Raw genomic sequence first — 24,491 nt, forward strand, 5'->3', positions numbered from 1 at the left:
TAGGCATTTCTTTCAACATAAGGGTGTATTCAGATTAGCTTTGCATATTAGTAACTTATTTAATATGGCAATGGGCAAAAAGCAATCCATTAAAAAGCAATTTTGCTCTTACCACAGGGTGTTTTATCATTTGGTGTCTAGCATTCAATCAGAAAGTAACAATCCTTAATATTTTATGAGCAGAAAACAACTCATCTGGGCATGTAGGCTTCAGAAACATGAATGTGTTTTGTAAGCCTTGACAAATTTCCAGAATGGGCTTTGCAGATGATGGCAAGCAATAAGTCAAACTAAAAACTTAAACTTATGACTATCACAACATTGGGGAAATTATTCTTCAGGACAGATGATGGGCATGCGTTAAAAAACATAATGACAAAACTCATAGGAAAAAGTATCAGTCCCAGCTCATTCTTCCACTTTCTGAAGTGTATAGGAAATTTTCTGAACTCCTTCGGGGACAAGGACCATATCTGGTTCCTTTGTACCTGCAGTGTCCCTCATAGTCTGTGGCATGTTGTAAGTACTGGATAGATTTTCATTGAACAAATTAATAAATGTGTTTGTCGTCTTAGGTGAAGAGAGACTGCTTTGACAATGCCAGGCCTCAGCTGTCCAAGCCCAGTCTCAATGCAGAAACCAGGCCTGAGTGAGTTGTGGCAGAATGTTGGGAGTCTTCTCTCCATCAGAAGGTGGGAGATGGAACAGTCTTCAGTGCATGAAGAGCATCTGTGGCATCTCCAGGGACCTGCGAGGTGTTTGCCTTCATCTCCACTCTGTTACTTCAGCCCACAAATGGAGTTCTGCCCTGATTCCTGGATTGACCACCAGGTCCTGGAAAGGCCAGGAGGGCTACTCTACACCTGCCAGAGGTCAAGCTCTATCCCCTATTCTGTCCCCACCCCATCCCCAAGCACAAAATGAACATTCACCTGAGGAGGACTACCTGCCCAGATTCTTGCCAGCTGAGGTCCCCTCCACCCACTGGATGGGGATCCACTGACCCAGAGGCCAGCCCACATCAGGGTCATGTTTACCCTGCCTGCACCTGCTCTGGAATTCAACCATCTCTTCCAAACTATTCCCCCCAGGTTGAATAAGACTGTTCCCATAGAGCTCCTCTCACTGAGATCACTGCAATTTCAGCCAGAAAATGAACACAACTACTCAAATCACCACCCAAAATACTTCCAATCCATTTCTAGACATTCTGCTCTGGAGAGAACCTGGAGGTGTAGGAGCACAGTGCGGTTTGTGAGTAATTCACTCAGGGACACAAGGCCCTAAGTAGCAGAGCTGAACTCAGTTCCCCTCTATTCCCAGCAATCTCTACCTCCTACACCAGATCACTCTTATGTGTTTACTTTTAGCAGGACAGACATATGTCCCTTGGGCAAAGGAGAAGAGCAGATAGCTGGGCACGGCATGTCATAGAACATGAGTGAAGGTACACATGGAGAGTGGGCCTTCTGCTGCCATCAAGATGAGCATAAACAGCCAAAGGTTGTCATCAGAAAGGAGGAGACAACCAAGGGCAGTGCAGAGCAGTACCTTGGACACAGAAACACCTGCCTGGTAGAACACCACTACTCACTCCAGTTACTGAAAATTAACTCCCAGATGGTCCAGACATGTTTTCCAGCCAGCAACTTTCACCAATTTCCCCCATGAAATTGAGATAAACATGAAACAGTCACAGTTATCAGACAGAGGAATTCAGCAGGATTTGTTTGATTTAGGACTTACATCCTTAAGCTGAGTAAACAGTAAGCAATACTGCACACTGAAATCTCAGCGAGTTAGTGTAATTAGGGAGTAAGAAGGATAACTCAAGTCAAGGATCCATGTAAACAGAAATCTTCACATTTGGTGAGCTGTAAACCAGAGTAGGTGAATGCAGAGATCTCTCAGGTTACACTGCTACTGTTCTAATGCAAAAATGCTCATGTTCCATGTCATCATTGGCTGCTTCCTCCCATGAGCCCACACTGGAAGATGATAAAGTTTTCCACTTGGCCAACCAGGCTCAATTTCTTAGTATTTTTCCTTACTAAGTATTAAATTTTCTAGTTTATTTCAGCAGTACCTGTAGTCAGTTCTACACTGTAAATAAAACATAACTCTCTTTCCAATGTAATCATCAGATTCCTCCCATTAATCATTTCAGGCCATTATTTTAAGCTCTCGAGCAGGCAACTGAATATTTATGTTTTCACAGTAATACCAAACACCCCAACATTTTTCTGGTATAAACAGTCTTTTCTGGTGCTCATGTTATTAAGCCTGTGCGGAAAGATTTATATGTGTGCTGGCTTCTAGATGTTGGATGGAATGGAAGTAAACCACTTTAAGAAGGTTCAACATCGACAATGATAATAGGGACAGGTTAAATCATATCCACCTTGGTAGATTAAAGCTAAATTATGCCAATGAACAAAAGGCAAGAAAATTATCATCCTTTCTTTTTCTGTATGTACTCTCATAAATTTTGTGATATAAGAAAAAGAGCAATAAAAATATTGCTGACCACATTTTTCATTTTCAGCTACCCATTTTCTTTAATAATTTCTTCTTTCTTAGAGAAAGTATTCCAAACAACAGAAACACTGAGAGCAAGAGAATTTCATTAAGGTATTCAATTTTTCTTTATAGAGAAAAATTGCTTAGAAAGAAAAGAAAATGATCTACTGGTAGGTTATAAACTGGAATTTTAAAAAAGAAATCCATAGATTTTTTTTTCCTGAACAGAAGCAAGCCTGTTTTAATATGTACTCATTTTCATGATATTTGAAACTCAGCCACAATGATCTGCAAATTTCTCCATTCCCATAGGTTTTAATCACATTTACTTCCAGACCAGACATGCAAAAGTATGTATGCTGTAAACCTGAGCCAAATAATAATCAACCTATCCACAGTGATGACCGTAAGAAGCTGTCGGCATCTTGGGATTTCTTCACACAGGTAGGGGCACAACCCTGGAAGCTGGGACTCTGCCAGCTTCACACCCATGTGGGAAATAAGTATACTTACGCAACTCGCCCACTTTCAAGATCTCACATAGCATCTTGGTCAGCTCTATACTACTGCGGCCAAAGGGACATTCATGCTTGTCTTCTCGACTACTGTTCTCAAGCACAATCTGTAATGGGAAAGGGAACAGATTAGAAAGGAAATTCAATTGTGGAAAACATCAAGAATATCACCTTCATTCCAATAGATGAATACATAGATCCACTTCAGATCCCCAAACGAAGACTCTTGGGGCCAGGACAAAATAGTACTCCAAGTATACAGGACCGAAAAGTCTCATTTATCCCCCCCAAATCTTTGACAACCCTCTTCAACCCTGTAAAAGAGGATATTTTGCTTGTTCGTTCCCATTTACACAGAGAAGCCTGGAGAGTGTTTTGGAATAGTACAATAAAGACTTTTTCACTTCAGTGACCAAACAACTCTCTTGTCCTCCCATTTCTGTCCTCTTTTCTTGGGAATAGTAACTCCTTCTGTGACTTCAGTCTCAAACTTCAATAGGATATTTTCCAAGGAAGTCCATATTCTTACAAGATCTTACCCTCTGGCATCAGTTGAATAAATCATGCCTGGAAAATGTGACATGATGGACCAATCACAGTCCTTCCCTGAGACTTCATACTAAGAGAAAAACTGGGGCCGGGTATGGTGATTCACGTCTGTAATCCCAGCACTGCGGGAGGCCGAGGCGGGCGGATCATTGGAGGTCAGGAGTTGGAGACCAGCCTGGCCAACATGGCGAATAAAATACTAAAAATAAAATAAAAACTATCTCTACTAAAATTACTACTCTCTCTACTAAAAATAAAAACAAAATTATCTGGGTGCGGTGGCAGGTGCCTTTAATCACAGCTAGGGGGCAGGCTGAGGCAGGAGAATCACTTGAACCCGGGAAGCGGAGGTTGCAGTGAGCCAAGATAGTGCCACTGCACTCCAGCCTGAGTGACAGAGTGAGAATCCACCTCAAAAGAGAAAGAAAGAGAGAAAGAGAAAAAAAAAGAAAGAAAGAAAGAAAGAAAAAATGAATGAATGAAAGAATGAATGAATACTGGCTCAACTATGCTGACGGTGCCCCTGGAGTGTGGACTTAGGAGTTACCTGGATGTTGGCCCTCAGAAAAAAGAAAATAAAACTAAAATGCAAAGTAAAACAGAGACAAGAGACAGCAAGAGACCTAGAAGTGTTTGAGACTGGTTCCACCTATTCCTACTGGTCCCCCTGTTCCTATAGCACAACTACTTCCCTGTCTTTCCCCTTTCGTTGCTCAATCCCTCCTCTGAAAATCCTTTTGTCCATCTAATAAATTATCCTCTTTTCTTAAGCTAATTTGAGATGTTCCTAACACTCTCAACTAAGGGAATTACTCTACACATAGATTAAACAAAAGCAAAACAAAATAACAAAACTCTCAAGTTATGGAACTTTATCCATGTCTAAAGCTTCTTCTCCAAAACTCATCCCCAGTAAGAGTTGTCTGGGACTTCCTTAATAGCTACACCACTTTGAATGATCATCTCTCAGTAGCATCTACAATGATGCTGTGCAGTGACTCACTGTTTTGTCACCTCCACAGAATATGAACTCTTCAGTGGCAGGGACAGGTGTTTTATTCACTTAGTCAACAGTATTAATTGAGCACCTGTTATCCACCAGGAAGATGGCTGAGCCCCATAAAATAGACAAGGGCCCTGACCTCATTAAGCATTCATTCTAATTGAAGGACACAAAAACAAAAGAGGTAGTTACAGTTTATCGCAAGTGCTATGAAAATAAAAAATAACTTGTTGAGTGACAGAGAGTAACAGGGAATGCTTGGGGAGGGGAGTTTAGATAACCAGGTGATCAAGGAAGGTTCTCGGACTATTGAGAATCAAACGATGAGAAAGACCTTGCTATGTCAAGGTATGTGAGAAAGAACATTCCAGATAGAGATGAAGGTCAGAGCCCACTGAGGTGAGCTGGGCAGTGGGCTGGCCTCCCCAAAACATATGCACTCAGTCTGCCCAAGCATAGACAATTTCATTTCACTCAGCCTGAATCACCCTTTTCCTTTTCAGGGAAACCATTCTGATTCTAACCAGAAATTCCCATTCCAGAAAGCAGGAGGGGAGAATAAGTTCCATTAATCAGTGAATTTTATCTCCCCTCTAAATATTTTGTATCTGAGACAGCCAGATCAGAGAGCAAATCTGAAGCTCCTAATGATGGGAGAAATGAACTGAAAAAAAGAAACAGAGCCAGAAGACAGAACATAAAGAGAAGACAGAAGACAGGTAGTTTTCCTCGGCTCCCAGCTTCCAGCGAGCACATTCCCTTGTATTTCACATTAACATTCTATTAACATTTCATGAGCACATTAATATTTAATGAGGCTGTGATCTGCATACACTGTAGGTAGAATTACTGCAGCCAATAAATGCTTGGGAAACATTTCCAAGGCACAGTTTATTAGCAGGCACTAAATTAAGTAGTAATTTAAGTAATCAATATGTAAATCAGCTTGGAGAAGTCCTGCTCTTTATTTTTTAATGCACCATCCATCTTATCATACTTACCCACCTAAAGAAAAATAAACCCGCCGCCTTCTTGACTGATTTCTGTTGTCAAGGCAGACACAAATATTTAAAGCTACTTGTGTAACTTTTAAGATCAACCTTCTTACAAAAATATTGTAGAAAAGATTACAATTATGAATGCTACTAGTTAGATATTACTATAGTGAGAGATAATTCTTAAGCTGGACAATAGCTTTTATTTAACACATTGATACATCTACATTCAATTTCAACATTCTGATATTAACCATGTCCATCGGAGACATTTTGAAAAGCTCCATTTGGAAATATCAAAGCATATTTTTCATCTTTATTTTCCCCTTACTCTTCAGTTTTAAGAGCAAATATGCTAGAACAGAAATCAAAATGAAGTACTAAAAGGTGCTATTACCACTCATCTTAGAATATATCAAACACCAAAATAAACTCTTTCTGCATATTTTATTTAAAAAAACTGGATATCCGTGCAATGTGAAGTTATATTTTTATAAAATGCTTCATCGTTTACAGAGTATATTTATACATTCTCTATCAATTGATTTCCAACAAGTCCATCCATTAATAAAGTAGGTATTATTAGTCTCTTAAGAATGCTGAAACAAAAGGCAGAGGTGACTTTCTAGCATCCCAGAGCTAGCCTGTGTCAGTCCTGGAGTTCAATTTTTTTTTTTTTTTTGAGATGTAGTTTCACTCTTGTTGCCCAGGCTGGAGTGCAGTGGCATAATCTCGGCTCGCTGCAACCTCCGCCCCGCCAAGCTCAAGCGATTCTCCTGCCTCAGCCTCCTGAGTAGCTGGAATTACAAGAGCCCACCACCACACCCAACTAATTTTTGTATTTTTAGTAGAGACGGGGTTTCACCATGTTGGCCGAGCTGGGTCTCGAACTCCAGACCTCAGGTGATCCCTCTCCAATGACCAAATCTCTTCCTGTCTCCTTATAGTTTACAAATTGGCTTCACATACATATTACCATGAAAATCAGTAGGTTTCATGTCTAAAGAAGCTAAGGGGACTTTGGTCAATTTCTTCTGTCTCCTTGAAGTTGTCTATAAGCCCTGTTCCTCCTAGACAAAGCTATAAGGTTCTATGTCATCTAATTTATCCCCTGAAGATGACAATTCCTCATGGTGAGTGACCAAAGCTGCTGCAGTGTCCCCACAGACTTTACTTCCATAAATTCCAGGCTCTCCTCTGAATGCTCTGTGTTTCTTGTCGCTCTTCTCCAATTGTGTAGATCAGGAACATTTATGGCTTGGGCATGACCATGAAGTGTTGAGTCCAAGGCCACCCTCACTCAAATATGAATCCCTTCTCTGGCTCTCTTGCCCTCCTTGCCTCAGCATCACATGGCTGATTTATATTCACTTGCTTGTCTCTGACACACTCTCTCTTCCACTCTCTGTTGAAGCTCTCTCTTTTGGGGGAGAGCCCAATTCATTCTGTGCCTCCTGCAGCCAGCCCTTGAGGGCTTGAGGGCTTCTTCCATGCCCTGTCACCTGTGGAGGCTTCTCTTCCACTGTGAACCTTTTTCCATTTCACTTTGACTTAACCTAGGGTCAGGTGAGGCATAGTGGCCTCCCCACAGGCCACACGAAGGACAGTGTGTGTGAGGTGGTACTGTCTGCAAAGAGAGGGGACACAAAGCAGCTATGAGAAGCACTGATAATGTGGTGACCTTGGACAAAGGTGCCGCCAACTAGGATGAACTTGCATGAGGCACTGCATGTCTTTGTGAGATACGAAGACCTTACATAAAACCCAATTCATGGGACTGTCGTGCATATCAACTCACACAACAAAGGCAAAGTCCCTAAAACTGCCTTCAGAGAGTTCGTGTTTTTATCTCTTTATTGTGCTCTCTCTTCCTGTTTCTGCATGGCCCATGGCCAACATTTCACACAACACTTTTACCAGCAGCTAAACCAAAATCATGACTGCAGTGAGACTGGCTCTCTGATGACAGGCTTCTAGGGACTCATGAAAGTAAACCAGAGGCCTTCTGGTTGTTTTAGCATGACAGGCAGAGAGAGAGATAAAAGTAGGTCCTCACCTGCTTACACCAAGAATGCAAGATAAAAAGTCCCATGTGCTGCTGTTTAAGCAGGGCTCTCCCGCAGGAATGCAGGGTGACAATAGTGTGAAGAACGAACAAGGACCCTGTTGTAACTAAGTGAGTTACAGAGAAACGCCACACTTTGAGACAAATCATGGAGTCTTTTATTAGCCGGTGACCGAGAGACAGCTAGCGCTCAAAATTCTCTTGGCCCCGAAGAAGGGGCTACATTCTCTTTTATACTATGGTCTAAATAGGGGAGGGGGAGTTTAACTGAAGCAGTTTTACAGAAGCAGAACAGGCAAAAAGTTAAAAAATTAATTGGTTATAGAAGCAGTTACAAAAAATAAACAGTTCCAGGTGCAGGGGCTTAAACTATCACTAAGAGATAAATGCAGGGGCTCTTAGGTACCTTCCACCGAGCACATTCCCAGGAGCTGCTGGTATAGCCTGCCTCAGTATCTTATCAGCAGGTGCATTCCTGGATGTGCTTGGAGTCAGCTTGCACTGGTTATTCTCTTAAGGGGGATAAAGGGGGCTGCGAGTGAAGACACTAAAACGGAGTCTGTCTGGCTCTCTCTCCTAGGAGAGAGTCACTCAGGTTAAAACAAGGTAGGTTATCACAACCGCAGAAAACAAGTCAATGCATGACATGGTGTTTCTGGCAATAAAGTCCTCAAACTAAAGCGTTCCAGCCACCATAGGGCAATTGTCCTCAGAATCCTTGTCAATGTCACAAATCTGTTTCCTGACCCATTGGAGATCTTCTCCCATACTAAATCAACAAATAAATAAGAAGCCTTATCAGTATCAATGAGATCTCCCCACATTCCAACACAGGGTCAATGTCCCCTTAGGAATAGTATCAGGCAACTCCCCAGAATGAAGTGTTAGTCCTTAGATCATATCCCAAGACCCAGACCTACCCCAGGGTCAAAGAATAAGCCCAGTTTTGATTCCTCTTATGGAGACTCGGGAGTCACTTCTCCTTCATTCTCCCTTGGTGCCAATGCTAATGATGATTGGTCCCAAGAAAACTGAAGACCATCATGAGAAAGAACCCTGAGCTGCCTCAAGGGGGCTGCACAAGAAGTTAATTGTGATCATGAATTTCAATCAAGTCCAGAGAATTAAACAAACATGTCCAAGCCCTAATAGGATGGTTTTAAATGAGCAGAGAAAGAAGAACATTAAAATTATAGAAAGTGTGCCAAGCACACAAACAAAATGGAACAGATCAGAACCACAGGCTGCTAGTTCACCAGATCTACCTAGAAAGGAAGTGAGACCTGGAAGTAAATAAACCCAAAAGAAAAAAGCTTTAGGGATGCCATCAAGATGGCAGCAAAAGGCAACAAACAGCTAACAGCTAACATTTATAGAAAGCATTTCTCTCCCAGGCCTTCTTTGAAGGGCTTTGTACAGATTGTCTCATTCCACACACGTGTACCAGCACATGCCAAAATACTAAGCCATCTCACTGTACAGATGAAGAAACAGAGACAAAGAGATGTGTCACTGGTCCAAGGTCACACAGCACAGAAATAAACAGACCCAGCATGGAAGCTTAGATGGCCTAACCCCAAAGCACATATTCTTGGTTACCAATTCCTATTGAAAACAGAAAGGGTGAAATATTACAGTAATAAAGCTTTGAGCAGGAAAGGCCTTCACATGGTCACAAAGGAGTGATCAGCACTGTGGCTCTGGACAGAAACAAACTTCCTGGATCTATTTCTAACAGACAAAGTCTACTTCTTGGTGACTTTGTACATATCCCTTAACCTCAGTTTTCTCCATGAAAATGAGTGAAGGAATACTTATCCATAAAGGGTCGTAAAGATTAAATGGGAAAGCAAAATGGAAGTAAAGATTTCCTTAGTGCCTGAAACACCTCAAACACTTGATGGAGACAACTGATACTACTATCACCATAATAATTACATAAACGCTTGTTCCAAGGTATTACTATTTGCATTTCTGAAATATTCTTATCGCTCTTGGGAAAAGCTGTTGAAAAAGCACGACAGAAAACAAAACATGGTTGCTGTAGCAGTTATTAATCTTGCTTTTTTTGGTAAAGTAAGGACTTGGATGAAATCATATTTCTGACTTACATGGGTTTCCTCAAGTTCTTTTAGCATCTCTTTAGAAAAGTGGTTCTACATCATTCTCAGCAAACTATCGCAAGGACAAAAAACCAAACACTGCATGTTCTCACTCATAGGTGGAAATTGAACAATAAGAACATATGGACATAAGAAGGGGAACAGCACACACCCAGGCCTGTTGTGGGGTGGGGGGAGGGGGGAGGGATAGCATTATGATACCTAACATTAGGTTATCTAATGTTAAATGACGAGTTAATGGGTGCAGCACAACGTGGCACATGTATACATATGTAACTAACCTGCACGTTGTGCACATGTACCCTAAGACTTAAAGTATAATAAAAAATATTAAATAAAAAAAATAAAAGAGCAGAGAAGGCTGGGAGCAGTGGTTCATGCCTGTAATCCCAGCACTTTGGGAGGCCGAGGCAGGCGGATCATGAGGTCAGGAGATCAAAACCATCCTGGCTAACACAGTGAAATCCCATCTCTACTAAGAATACAAAATATATATATATTAGCCGGGCATGGTGGCGGGCACCTGTAGTCCCAGCTACTTGGGAGGCTGAGGCAGGAGAATGGCATATGGCATGAACCCGCGAGGCGGAGCTTGCAGTGAACCGAGATTGCGCCACTGCACTCCAGCCTGGGTGAGAGAGTGAGACTCCATCTCAAAAAAAAAAAAAAAAAAAAAAAAAAAAAAAAAGAACAGAGAAAGGACCAAACTAATGTTCGATAATTTTCTTCCAGTCAAGACGTTCCTAATAATGCTGGACAACTTCCAGTTTGGAAATGACCACCTCCCCGGGTGTTGTCTAATCACATTGTCCAAATGCTACGACAACAACCTGTTGAGAAACATCCACAAACTCAGGTGATCTTATGCCTGAGTGAAGAATATAATTGTTACTGTAAAATATATTTGGTGTGTTAAAATTATATGGTACTGCAAAATAAAGCATTCTCAGAATGAAAAAAAAAAAAGAAAAGTGGTTCTAACTTTAATGTGTGTCAGAATCACCTGGAGAACATACTGAACGCAGGCTGCTGGGAGGCTCCCCTAGGGTTTGATTGAGAAGGTCTGAGGTGGAACCCACAAAAATAAGTCAGTAAACCAAGTCCTGAAGTTTTCTGAGACAATGAGGGGATTGAGGGAGAGAGAGTTAGAAAAGGATTTAAGAGAATATTTAAAAGTTACTTTCACCAGCATGCCCTTAAGTAAAAACTCCATCCCTTCACCTTCCCTGAGCTTTAATTGGTCACCTAGAGAGAGGCGGCCATCCATGGTATGTCCAGGCTGCGGAGGCCTCAGGCCTTTGGACAGGGCCAGTGCTGCCAGGCAGCTGAGATGGGCTTTCAGAAGGTTGGAAATGACCAAGTTAAGAATGTGAGTATAACTGACGACCAGGGAAAAGGACAAAAAACTTAAAGCGATATTTCCAAGAGCCAAATAACAATGCATCCCAGGAAAAGGAGAAAAAGAATGTATTAATATAATGAGTCAGACTGGTGGAAAAAAAAAAAGAAAAGAAAACGCACACAGGGAACCAAGATAAATAACAATCTGGACAAATGAGAGGAATGGTATAAAACCCAGCTAATGAGGTGAAATGCTTCCAGAATAAAATTAGGCAATTGCACATACAGAGGCATAATAAAGGCCATAAATATAAAATGGCAAGGAATTGACTGGGTAATGGTATAGTAATTAAAGCCTGGAGCTTCATAATAGACCTCAAATTGAACATTAATCAACCAAAAAGAAATGCTCCCTGCACTTTGATATAGTGCAACAAAAGCAGGACGCGCAAAACACACAGAGCAATCAAAGCCACGTTTTGCCGAAAGGCCCTCCCTTTGAGCATCACCTCAGGTAGCACAAAGAGGGCAAAGGATTAAATAACAGCAGGATGACTTCTGTTTGTGCCTACACAGTAATCACAACATTACTGAGGGAAGCCAAGCTCTGCTGACTATTCAAAGGCCAGGAGGTATCAGGGGCAATCCCCCAGCTGACTTCCCCACCAAAGAAGGTAGGCTAAAATCTCCCCTTTTATGCCAGTACGTGTGTTCCTGGCCCCAAGGATGGGTACAGGTGTAGGGGGCACCTGTAGGCTTTACTCCAGGTTTATTTAAAGCAATAGTTCTCTAACTTGAGCTTCTATTAGAATCCTCTAAAAGCTTATTAAAATGCAGATTGCTGGACTCCACCCCCAGAATTATGATCAGACATTCTGGGGTGTACTCACGAATCTGCCTTTCTAACAAGTTCCCAGTTAACACAGATCTGCCAGTTTTGGACCACACTGTGGGAACCACTGACTTACAGGTCTGTCACATCTACATTCCCAATTTCCATCATTAGCAAACCTTTTGTTTTTAAAGACATGCAAAGCAATGAAAGTAGACAAAAAAGAAATAAATCTGATTGGTTTTGGTTTGTTTTGTTTTTCCTGTGACTAATAAAAAAATCATTAATAAGAGTCAAAATCCATAGAGAGAGAAGGCAGAATGGTGGTTGCCGGGGGCTGAGAAGTGAGAATGGGGAGCCACTGCTTAGCGGGTATGGGGTTATTTCTGGGATGATGATCATGTCTTTGGATCTACATAGAGGTAGTGATTGCACAACACTGTGAATGTACTAAATGCCACTGAACAGTTTACTTTAAAATGGTTAATTTTATGGTATATGCACTTCATCTCGATTAACAAAAAAGAGTTAATACATATTAGATGATTATCATGTGCAAACTCTCAAGCGTTTAGCTCATTTGGTCCTCACAAGCCATTGAAGCAGGACTGCATTTTACAGATGAGGAAGCCATGCCTTAGAGCTTAAACAAGTTGCGTGCTGTTTAGAAGGAACACTGCTATGGTTTGAATGATGGTGCCCCTTCCGAAGTTCATGTTGAAACTTAATCCCCAATGCAACAGTATTAAGGGTGTGGCCTCTGGGAGGTGATTAAGTCATGAGGGCTTCTCTCTCGTGACTGGGATTAGCACCCTTATAAAAGGGCCTGTGATTGAAAGGAGGCTCTCACTTGCCCTCTGTCCCTTCTACCATGAAAGGACATCATGCTCCTCTCCTCCAGAGGATGCAGCGCCAAGGTACCATCTTGGAAATAGAGAGCACAGCCCTTACCAGACACCAAGCCCGCTGATGCCTTAATCTTGGACTTCCTAGTCCCCAGAACCATAAGAAATACATTTCTATTGTTTATAACTTACCCAGTCTAGGGTATTTTGTTAAAGCAGCAAAAATAGACGAAGACACTACAGGTGTTGAAATGGCTCAGGATGACAGTCCTACAGGACAGCCAAGGACAGGGCATTGGGTGTGCCCTGTCATACAGAGGGGAACAAAGTGTGGCATTGGTACAAAGTCCTGTGGTATCATTAAGGCAGAACTCCTCTACTGCATACTCTTTAATGCAAACCACACACACTTCATTGTAATTTTTTTTAAAGTTCACATTGTAAATTACTTTGCAGACATATACAATCCCAGTACTTCTCAAACTTTAAAGTACTCACAGATCACCTGGAGACCTTGTTAAAATGAAGATTCTGACTCAGTAGGTGTGGGTTGGGACCTGAGGTCCCACATTTCTAAGCTCCCAGATGATGCTGACGCTGCAAGTCCAGGGTCCATATTTTGAAAATCAAGGCACTGCTTCCCCAAACTATCAGCTGAATTCTAGCCCTAGTCCTTCCCAACATCCCTACAGTGTATTACCCTTTGACCAATTCATTCATTCCATGAATATTTTTAAGCAATTATTGCTGAGCAACTTGCTAGATATTAAAAATACATGTATGAACAAAAGTCCATTTTGAGGGTCTTGCAATCTACTTGGAAGATACAAGGACATGGGATTTGTAAGATGGGCCAACTTTCACTTCCTTTTATGTACCTCTATATTGTTTGCATTTTTCACAAGGAAGTATCACTTTGTGCAGTGAAGGTGCACATGAGATGCAATGGGCAGACGGGGCTTCATGGAGAGGGTGAGCCTTGAGTTCAACCTTGAAGAAGAAACTGATGTCAAACTCTCTCCTAAGGCATCTTTTTAACATTCCACACCAGAAGTGAGCTGTGGAATGCAAGAAAGACTAATTACAATGGGAAAATGGATGCTGAATAAAAGCAGAGAAGCCCCTATGCATCTTGGGCAGTATTAAGCAACAAATCTCAAGATCACATGGCAGGGTTTTGACTCGCTCAACATTACATTACTGAATACAAATGCCTCACATCTCCTTCACCGGAGTGCAAAGATACCAAGAGGTTTGGCTTTTGTCTGACCGTCACTGTTGGATGAAAAATTAAGCTTGACATTTCTCAACCCTGACTTCTTACTGAGAAATTGTCACCATTGTCTGAACAGTTACTGCTGTCTTAAAGCAAAGTTAACCACCACATATATTGTCTGAAACATATTTGAATATAATTCATTTTACAAAACAAACACATTCCAGGAAAGCTAGTGATAAAATGAATCTGTCTAAGTCAGCTCCCACTCACCTCACTTTCTCACTTAGCACATTGATTTAGAAATTCACTCTGGTTTGGGAGAACGGACTTGAGAAGATGGAAAGGTGAGGAGAGAGAACTATTTCTTACTATCCTCTTCTGGACAAATAATAAATTGGCCATTTCAGGAACATATTATCAAACAGAAAATGTTAATTTTCTGATTATGCACATGACAAGTTAGCTGCAATGAAAAAATTGACTGAAACCTAATTAAGAAATTAGGCCATAAGTTGTTTTACTTGAGGTTAAAAAAGCATGTGAAAAGGAAATATTTTCTTCCTATTACATCTAGCTTTTTAAATGGAGTTCATCTCATCACATCTCATTCTGTGTATGAATCATAAATCTTGCCTACTCCTGCTAGAGGAAGGATCTCCCTCTGGTACAGCTCTCCTACCAGGCTAGGCCCAGACATGGCTCCCTCCTAGGGAAACTGCCTCCCCGACACCCCTCCCTGACACACTGCCCCTCCCACACCTGTCTCAATTTTCCCTCTCCTTCAGACCCAATCCAGATGTCACTTTCTCCATAAAACCTTATGCAATAAAACCTTATGTATGGTTTTCCTAAACAAGCCTTTGAAGTGTGGGCTTTGGCCCAGGGAGACTTGCTTCTGAGTTTTTTCATTCACATGGCCACATCGTCCCTGGGGGCACACCGGGTACAGGCTTCATTGCAGAGACTTTCCAAGTGAGTTTTCTCCCAAGTGAGATAACCTTTTATCTGTATCTTTCTTAAAACAATTCCCATTTTATGCCCCCAAATTATGGTAAAGTATAGGTGTCTTACCTTCCCTGATAGAGTCAACCCCTTGAGGTTGGGAACCACTTCCTCACTTGTGAATCTCTGACATTGCAGCAGAGTTGCACATACAGTAGGTGCTCAGTAATGAAGCAGTTATTGAACAAGTGCATGGACAGTACGAGTCATGACTCTGGCCTCTGGTGAGGCTGGCAGTGCCCACAGAAGGTTCAGTCACCTTCTCCATCCCTTACATGAATACCAACTTGCCTGGCTTTAGCATGAGTGTTTCCATAACTTATTACAACTATATGTTCAAATGCATCTTAAGTGAGTCATCCCTGTCCTCCATATTCCCTATTCTATGTCATTTGTGGATTTAATCAGAAGCAAGGGTTTATGTGATGCACTGAGAACCTCTAACTTCCTTCTTCATCAGGAGGAGGCTCAGAACCCAGAGGCTACTCAGCATTCAGGGCACGTATTCCCACAGAGAATACAAGCTGGGGGGAAAACTCACTTGGAGACTCTCTGCATTGAAGCATGTGCCTGGTGTGCCCCCAGGGACAATGCGGCCACGTGGATGAAAACACTCAGAAGCAAATCTCCCTGGGCCAAAGCCCACACTTCAAAGGCTTGTTTAGGAAAACCATACACTCAACCTTCTTTGTGTATTGTGAAAATAAACATTTACAGAACATTGGAATGTGTGAAAAATGTCCTTCGTTGTGTGTTTATGGAAAACATTTGGCAAGTATTTGCTATAAATGCTTCCTGTAAATGCTGTGAGTGAGAATCAGCAGGAAAATGTATGAGATGAGAGGGAGCCAACTCCCACAGCAAAAGAATGTCCCCTTCCCTTCCACACACCCCACGCGCTGCCTCCACTCTGCACTCCTCCGCCGCCCCCCTCCCCAGATAAGGCCCAGGGGATCCGGGAGTGTGAGGGTGGGGAACAGAGAAGGGACAATCTGTGAAGGGGCCTCCAGGCTCAGCATTCCATGTTGGAGTGCAGAAAAGGAAACTGACTCGTGTTTCCTAGGTGATGACGCCCCCTAATAGGATTTCCTTCCCCTTCATTCTTATTGGTTAACAGTTCTGATTCCAAGTCCCCCATTCCAGCTGGAAACATTGCCTCAACACCCACCCGGTCTTCCCCACCTGAAGACTGGCCTGCCTCTCAGTTAACTCTTGGACGCTTTCAGGTGAAAAGTAAAAAGTGGAAAGCAAGAGACTCAAATATATTTCTTCAGAACAAGATGCATGGGACATTTCTCTTAATTCCTCAACAATGGACAAAGACCTCTGATGATATGAACTGAAAAGGGAAGAGAGTGTTGCAGGCCACAGCAATGAACGCTCGTGGTTTTTACCAGGAAGCAACCTTGACCGCCTCCAGATTGCCCTCTGGGATGAACCAGGTCCTCCCCTGCCACATGAGGTATGTAGTGGGTACTGCAGAGAGGCTGGCTGCTCTTGGTTCCCAAGCAGCCTCCGTGATAAACAGCCTCAGTGTTGAAATATCAGGGAGATTAATTATCTCGCAGATGTTACATGCCAAAAAGGCTACTTTTTTTCTTCATTTCAGAATTCTTTCCTTTTTTAAGAAATACAAGGACACAAATCCAATGTGCTTAATTAAGCCTGCCAAGGCGAAGAGGCCCAGCTGCCTGGCTGTATTTGTATCTGCACAGGTGCCCAGGGAACACCAGCCTCACTCTCAGCTTCATCTCCAGGTCCCCTACCTCTGCCCAGAGGTCCTCACATCTGCACCTGACTGGAGCTAATGACAAACATCCTTACACAGCAACTTTTACGCTGATTTGCAAAATGATTTATTTTAAGTACGTTTCTAAAAACATAAACGTTAAGTCAAAAGGTCTCAGCATTTCTGCCACTTAAAGTATACCTATGTAACAAACCTGCATGTTCTGCACATGTATCCCAGAACTTAAAGTATAATTTAAATATATATATATAAGTATTGATAAACCATAATCTAAAAATGATGTCATTTCACACTTCCCAAAGCAATGGAGGAGTTCCCTTTAAAATCATTTCACCGGCTCACCTAGATTTATCATGGGAAAGAAAAATCCACAGTCTCCTCTGATGGAAGAAGAAAGGGGCTATGGGGCCCCCCAGACTTTCCCAATCAGCCCCATGCTGTGGCTCTCCCCAGCCATGGACCATGACAGCCACTCCCTAATCCTGAAAGAATCCAGGATTTCCTCTCCTCCAAGCAGCTGCACCCTTGCATGGCTGGGTATGGTGGTGAGCGTAGGGGATTTTTTGGTAAGCTCTTTGGGGAAGAATTCCTACATCAAATACATATTTATGAATTCAGAGAATTAAGAAAATTCTGAATTCAGAAAAGACTCTCAGTTACTTCATTCTCCTACCCCGTTTACCACCACATTCTACCAGCATCAGCTGCCCCAGGACCATGTGGGCCTCTCTCTTCCTGTCCAGATCCTCTTTTGTTTGTACCTCAGCCATTCTGACAGTAGGTTCCTTGGGGCTCTTGGTCCAGCTCTGCGTTCTCTGCAGGCTCCTGCCCTGAGAGAGTCAGTAAGAGAGTGTTTCTCACCTCAGGCCATGACTTGGCATTATGGACTGGACACATGACTCACCCATTGAAAAGATCAGCACACGTAAGTTAACCTCACCCATTCCACAGTCCCTCATATTGCTAAGAAGAGCAAATGGGATAATGCATGAGAAGGCAAAAGCACCATCAAGATCCAGTGGCTGGTGCTAGAGCAGGCTAACCAGCTGCTGCATCACTTTCAAAAGGCTTACAGGCCATAGACTGTTGGGAGCTTGAAATCGGCCACAGCAGGAGTATTGATACCACAGAAACCAGCAAATGCTGCAATACTAATCAGATTTTCTTTTAAGAAAAACTTTTGTACTAGCATACTACCAAATTCAATGTAAAGTATTAAAAAGTCACCACCAGAGCTGTCTGGGTCCAAAGTCCCCATTTGCAACTTACTATCTATTGTAGCAATGGGCAATTTACTTGACCTTTCTGAGCCTCAGCGCTCTCATCTGCAAAATGGGTACAATGATAGTGAGAATTCAATAAGGTAATGCATATAAAATGTTCATAACCATAGCCTGGAAACATTCACTACTCAATATAGTTTAGCTTTCTTTTTGTTCCTACCATATGCAGAGTAGAGCCCCAAGCTGCCAAGCTATCAGCAGAACTGACCCTTCTGTTGAAAACTAACTAAATGTTGGTCTTCTTCATCATTGGCTTATAGAGAACTCATGTCTGCTCATGGAACATATGCACATCTTCATGGCTTTCATAACTGAGATTTGTTGTAAGGCTTTATCCTGTGTAGCTCAAACTCTGCCCAATTTGATGGTCCCACCAGGTCAAGGAAAAAGAGATTCCTTCCAAGTTATGCTTCAGTTTTGATCTTCTGAAAAATATCACTTAAGGCCATAAAGGACTTCAGAGGGGGAAAAAAGAGGAACACAACCCTGTTCAGAGATTCAACACATCCTATCTTTCATCATTCATTTAATTTAGATGGTCCAGTGACAGAAAGTAAGGGCATAGGGCAAAAGAGATGGTTCCTGCTCAAAAATTTCATGTTAAGAGAGATAATAATCAAATAGTAAAACATACGATTATATAATTCCAAACTAAGTGCTATAAAGGGAGTGACATGGAAGCAAAACTAATGAAAGAGGAGCCTAAAGGGTGAGGTTCTGCAGGATTAATCCAGGGATAAGTGGGCAAGCAGGGAAGGGATGGAGAAAGCAGGAGCTGAGTCAGCAGAATAAGCACATGCAAGAGCCCTGTGGCATAGGAGCATCACCAGTCAAGTACTGAAAGATTGGCTAGGCTGGCCTTCCTGATCTTGGCAAATGCAAGTTTGCAGACAGGTGTGAATGACATTAACCGGAGTCTTAGATTTGAAAAGTCTCCAGGTATCAGGACCAGTGTTACAGAGCAGCATTTGATAAACCAACCAAAGAGAAGTTAGTTGTTAGGGTTGTTATATCTGTTATTAAAATTGTTTCAGTTGCTTTATAAAATACAAGAAAAATATTGTCTATTATTTATGATGTATGCCAAATTTTGGAACCTTGGGTTTTACCAGTGCAGGGAAAAAGTTGATAAAATTAAGGTCAATGAAAAAATAAAATTATCTGACAATGTCAACCACTACTGGGTGCACCAGGTGTACAGCATAGTTCCTAAGGGGGAAGCTATTTTTAACTAATACAAAGGGACATTTGGGAACATTACCACCTAAATTTTATTATACCAATACAAAATCCCTTCTGATTTGGTAGGCAGGTTGCTAATACTGGCTGGGCTCTGGTCACATGAATCCTATTCAAAAAGGGAAGACAGCAGTGACTCACCCAAGCCCAAGCATCAGCATATCTGGGGCAAGGCCATTTTGGGGCATACCGATATAGTTTCTAATTTGGTTTTCACTCCAGGACGGACAAAGGCCAGAAAGGCAGCTGCATCCAGAGAGGTTAGAGCGTGTTCCAGATAGAGATCTACTTCTGTGGTTTCCATCCATGGGGTGAATCCTGCCAAAAGGTGGAACACCAGAACTCTCTGGGCAGAGTCCTGCCACTCACTCAATCCAGGCATGCATTTAACAAATATGTGCTGACTGTCTTCTGTGTGCCTGGCACTGCCCCGGGCACTGGGGTACCGCAGTGACACCATGGATACTCTGTGGTTTTATGAGGTTTGCTGGCTAGTAAGGGTGAACAGGAAATAAAGAAAACAGTGAATATCGAGCATGTAAGAAACATTAAATTTTGAGAGAAATAAAGGAGGTAAGGTAGACAGGGAGCAAGAGGATGAAATCAGTACTTTATATCTGGAGGTGACAGAAAGCTGCTCAGAGACTAATGGAAGTGAGGCAATGAGCCATGTGGCTACCCAGGAACAGATTCCTAGGAGAGAAAGCAAAAAGTAAAAGGCCCAGAGACCAGAGGTACCTGGTATGTTCACGGCCAACAAGGGTGCTATGGACGGAATTGCACCCTTCCAAAATTCACATGTTGAAGCTCCAACCCGCTGTATAGCATGTGACTGTATTTGAAGATAGGGCCTTTAAAGAGGTAATTAAAATCAAATGAGGCCATTAGGGTAGGGTCCGAATCCAGTATGATTGGTGTTCTCATAAGAAGCAGTGCCAACAGGGTGTGAGTGCACAGAAGGATGGCCATGTGGAGAGGCAGCAAGAGGGCAGCCGTTTACAAGCCAAAAAGGGAGGCCTCAGAGACACCAACCCTGCCAGTAGCTAGATTTTAGATTTCCAGCCTTCAGAGCTGTGAGAAAATAGAGTTCTGTAGTTTAAGCCACCCAGTATGTGATATTTTGTTATGGCAGCCCTAGCTGATCTCTGTGGGTGGAGTTGAGGGAGGAAGGAGTAGGATAGAAGGACGTAAGGCTGGAAAGCCAGAACACTGCAGAGCCTTGAGAGCTGTGGCAAAAGTGCTGAACGTTTTTACTCTGAGTTACTGGAGGTTGTAGGCAGATGAGTGATGTGATCTGACCAATACTGGAAGAATCACTATGGCATCTTTCCTAACGTTCTGGCTACTGTGTTGAAGACAGAAAAGATGAGCAAGTGTGGGAGCAGGCAATATCAATCAGAGGCTGTTACACTATTACAGGAGATACAGGAGAGAGGTTTGATGTACTGGATTACTGTAATGGTGGTAGAAGTGGGGAAAGGAGGTAGGTTTCTGGAAAGCAGAGTCAATAGGATTTTGAAAGTAGAGTCAATAGGATTGAAAGTAGAGTAAATAGAATTTGCTGGGGTTAGTTTGTTGGTAACTGGGTCTTAATGGAATAAAGAGTAACTCATTGAGCCAGAGACTTTAGTCACTGGGTTGCCTTATCAAGGCAACCCATATTTAGCGCCATGAAACAGTTAAATAGCAAAGTTCTGAGTAGGTTTAGCCATGCTGAACCCCTATGGAAGGCAGAGCCATTGCTAGAAGGATATTTGTAGCAAAATATCAATGAGGAATTCAAGCAATGGAGAAAAATATACAAAATCAAGCATCTAAGCTTCCATTTTAGAAAACTAAAAAAATACAAATTAAATCTAAAGTAAGCTGAAGAAAAGAAGTAAAAAAAAATAATGGAGTGGAAATCAGTGAAATTGAAAACTGGAAAGCAATATAGAAAAATCAGTAAAATCAAAAGCTAGTTTTTTGAAAAGATCAATAAAAACAACAAATCTCTAGCCAGGCTCAACAAGATGAAAGGAAAATGATAAATTATTAGCATCAAAAATGAAAGAAGAGTCAACTTTATGGATCTCATGTATATAATAAAGGAATATTATGAACAAGTCTATGCTCAAAAATCTGATAATGTAAATGAAATGGACCAATTCCTTGAAAGACACAATCTACAAGAACCCACACAAGAAGAAATAGACAATCTGAAGAGACCTATATCTATTAAAGGAATTGAATAAATAATTAATGACCTTCCAAAATGGAAAGTATCAGGCCTGGATGGTTTCATTGGTGAATTCTATAACATATTTAAACAAGAAAATGATACCAATTCTCTACAATCTGTTCCAGAAGGTAGAAGCAGAAGGAGTAGTTCTTAACTAATTCTATAAAACCAGTATTACCCTAATACCAAAACCAAAGGCATAAGAAAGAAAAAAAATGCGGATCTATATAGCTCTCATGAACATAAATGTAAATATCCTTCACAAAATTATCAAATAGAATCCAACAATCTATAAATAGAATTATGCACCACAACCGAGTAGGATTTGTTTCAGGTATGCAAGGCTCATTCAACATTCAAAAATCAGTTAATGTAAACCATTGTATCAACAGGCTAAAGAAGAAAAGTTGTATAATGGTATCAATAGATACAGAAAAGCCATTTGATAAAATCTAACACTCATTCATGATAAAAAAAAACTCTCAGCAAACTAAGAATAGAGCAGTTCCTCAGCTACATAAAGAACATCTACATAAAACTTATGGCTAACATCATACTTAATGATGAGAAACTTGACTCTGCCCTAGGATCAGGATCAAGGCTAAGATGGTCGCTCCTATCACCCCTATGTAACATCTTACTGGTAGTCCTAGCTAGTGCAATAAGAAAAAAAAAAAAAGGGTGTACAGACTGGGAAGGAGGAAACAAAACTGTCTTTGTTCACAGGGGACATGATTGTCTATGTAGAAAATTCCAAGGAATTAATACATAAAATCTTGGAACTAATAAACAATTACAGCAAGACTGCAAGATATTGGCTTATCAATTGTAACAAATGAGCCATTCTAATGTGAGATGTTAATAACAGAGAAAGCTGTGTGTGGGAGAAATGAGAGATGGGATATATACGAACCCTCTGTACTTTTGCTCAACTTTTCTGTAAACCTAAAACTGTTCTAAAACACAATGTCTATTAATTAAAAAATTAAAAAGGCAGAGAGGTCTGCATTCTCTTGAGAAAAACAGAAGAGAGAGGAGTCCCAGAAACCTTTCCCCTTCAAAGAAATAAGAAGTGAGCTGCAGTTCTTTGAACTCCTGCATTACAACAATTAAAGCAGAAAAGGGAGAAGAAATAGCGAAACCCCAGCACAGCAGCTGCTGAGCTCTGCACAGCTAAGGTAGAAAAATGCACATTTAAAGGTGGAAGCTTGGTCAATTACAGCAGAAAGAAAGAGGGCTTGTCACAGAGCAGGTACTGTACTCAATAAATATTTAACTAGCTAAACAAGACATAAAAATGGACAATATGGGCTGAATTTGGAGAACTGGGTTGGAGAAATAATGGAAAGATACTAACTGGATCTAAGATAGAGAAACCACAACAGTTACTGTGAGCTAAGTCTTGGCTGGTACCTCAGTGAGGGAGTCAGGAACATGTGATCCTTCTGAAGTTTTTAACCTTTCAATTCACATTAGACTTGTGTTTACAATATGTCAACTACATATAGTTCACTATACAGCTTAGCTTCACTTTTTTCTCAACAAATCCATCACTGTTTTAAAGTCCCACTGTGTTTTAAAATTAAAAAAAAAAAAAGAAAAGAGAAAAACCACCACCACCACCAACAAAAAACCTTTGGAGAATGCTAAGTAAGAAAGTCTGAAACCTCTTTCACCAAGGACTCTCCAAGATGGGCTGCTTTTGCATCAAAACCATGGAAAGGCAGCCTGGGTCATCCTAGAAAAGTACTACATGTGCCTCGGCAATGACTTCCACAGGAACGAGTGTGTGGGCAAGGAGATCACCATTATCTCTGGCAAGAAGCTCCGCAACAAGAGGGCAGGCTACATCCTGCATCTGATGGAGGATATTTGGAGAGGCCCAGTGAGAGGCATCTCCATCAAGTTGTGGGAGGAAGAGAGAGAAAAAAGGAGAGATAATTATGTTCCTGAGATCTTAGCCCTGGACCTGGAGATCACTAAAGTAGGTCCTGACACTGAGGAAACACTGAGACTTTGGGGCTTTCACAGACTGTCCAACCTGCGGGTCACTCAGCCTACAGTTGGGATAAATTTCAAAACACCACGTGGAGCTGTTTGGATTTTTCTGCAATGCTGTAGTATTTTCAGTTAACCTGAGACAACGGCAAACAAACAAGCAAGCATTCTGAACCTAATGCTCAGCTTGGGGTGGTACCAAGAGAGACAAGGAGATAACTACCAGCTTTCAGGTCTGCTTCAGATTTCAGACACCTCATCCAGCACCACAAGAACACAGGTGAGCATCCGAGGTGGTGTGAGCACACCACGCAGGCACTGCTACAGTCAGCTAATAGAGGTTTGTGGAATCTGCCCTCCCTCCCTGGGACAAGGGGTCTTCTGAGATAAAACCAAGCCCACATTTAACAATGATCTCATCCTCATGCTTGAAGCATTCCATTCAAATCACTGGCTTTGGAAGTCAGAAATTCTTCCTTCCAGCTCAATTAGTAAATCTAATCACATATTCACACTCTCAAGGGGTCCCGATTGTTTGGCAGTAACAGCTTGGTTATTCACAATCAACGAAATTAATGCCACTATTTTTAAAACATGAAAAAATCCTGTATATACAAACAAGCCTCCAAGCTGTGGACCTTGGTTAAAGAAAGAACAAAAATTAAAGCCAGGAAAAAAGTAAATGAATTATGAGACAAAGAATCATTTCAAACTCAAACGTCCCAACAAGGCTGTGCCTTTGGGGTCCTTGTTATTCTAAACTGAATCCTTTCTCCACATCACCTAGAAGAAAAATGTCACTCAGATAAAAAAAGGTTCCTTTACATGGAATTGTGTGTTTAACTGGCAACATATAATTTTATTTTTAAAAAAATGAAGAGCAATTGCTGTTGAAGCCATTTCAGGGACGAGAGAAGGGGAGGCTCTGTCAGCACAATGGGAACAAAAAACTGTTGTGCACTAAGCATTATTCCAATCATTTGCTTCATAG

The 24,491-nt window shown here is 41.6% G+C and overlaps 1 protein-coding gene and 1 pseudogene across 14 annotated transcripts in view, besides 1 other annotated feature; one reads left to right on the forward strand and one right to left on the reverse strand.

Annotated features, from left to right (window-relative positions):
- ELMO1 (engulfment and cell motility 1) overlaps nt 1-24,491 on the reverse strand; it is a 596,421-nt gene that overhangs the window by 240,680 nt on the left and 331,250 nt on the right. For all 14 annotated transcript variants that reach the window (NM_001206480.2, XM_011515654.3, NM_014800.11 and 11 more), the window contains one exon: nt 3,034-3,142. In NM_001206480.2, the coding sequence (NP_001193409.1) occupies nt 3,034-3,142 (109 nt within the window). The remainder of the gene's footprint in view (nt 1-3,033; nt 3,143-24,491) is intronic.
- Nucleotides 23,223-23,600, forward strand: RPS17P13 (ribosomal protein S17 pseudogene 13; annotated as a pseudogene).
- Nucleotides 23,729-24,230: an enhancer, noted in NCBI's record as "NANOG hESC enhancer chr7:37156919-37157420 (GRCh37/hg19 assembly coordinates)". NCBI's record gives its function as "activates a minimal SCP1, AML or CMV promoter by ChIP-STARR-seq in naive H9 embryonic stem cells {active_cell/tissue: H9 hESC(naive)}" and the evidence as "EXISTENCE:reporter gene assay evidence [ECO:0000049][PMID:30033119]".

The sequence above is a fragment of the Homo sapiens genome, chromosome 7, assembly GCF_000001405.40.
Source record: "Homo sapiens chromosome 7, GRCh38.p14 Primary Assembly".
NCBI lineage: Eukaryota > Metazoa > Chordata > Mammalia > Primates > Hominidae > Homo > Homo sapiens.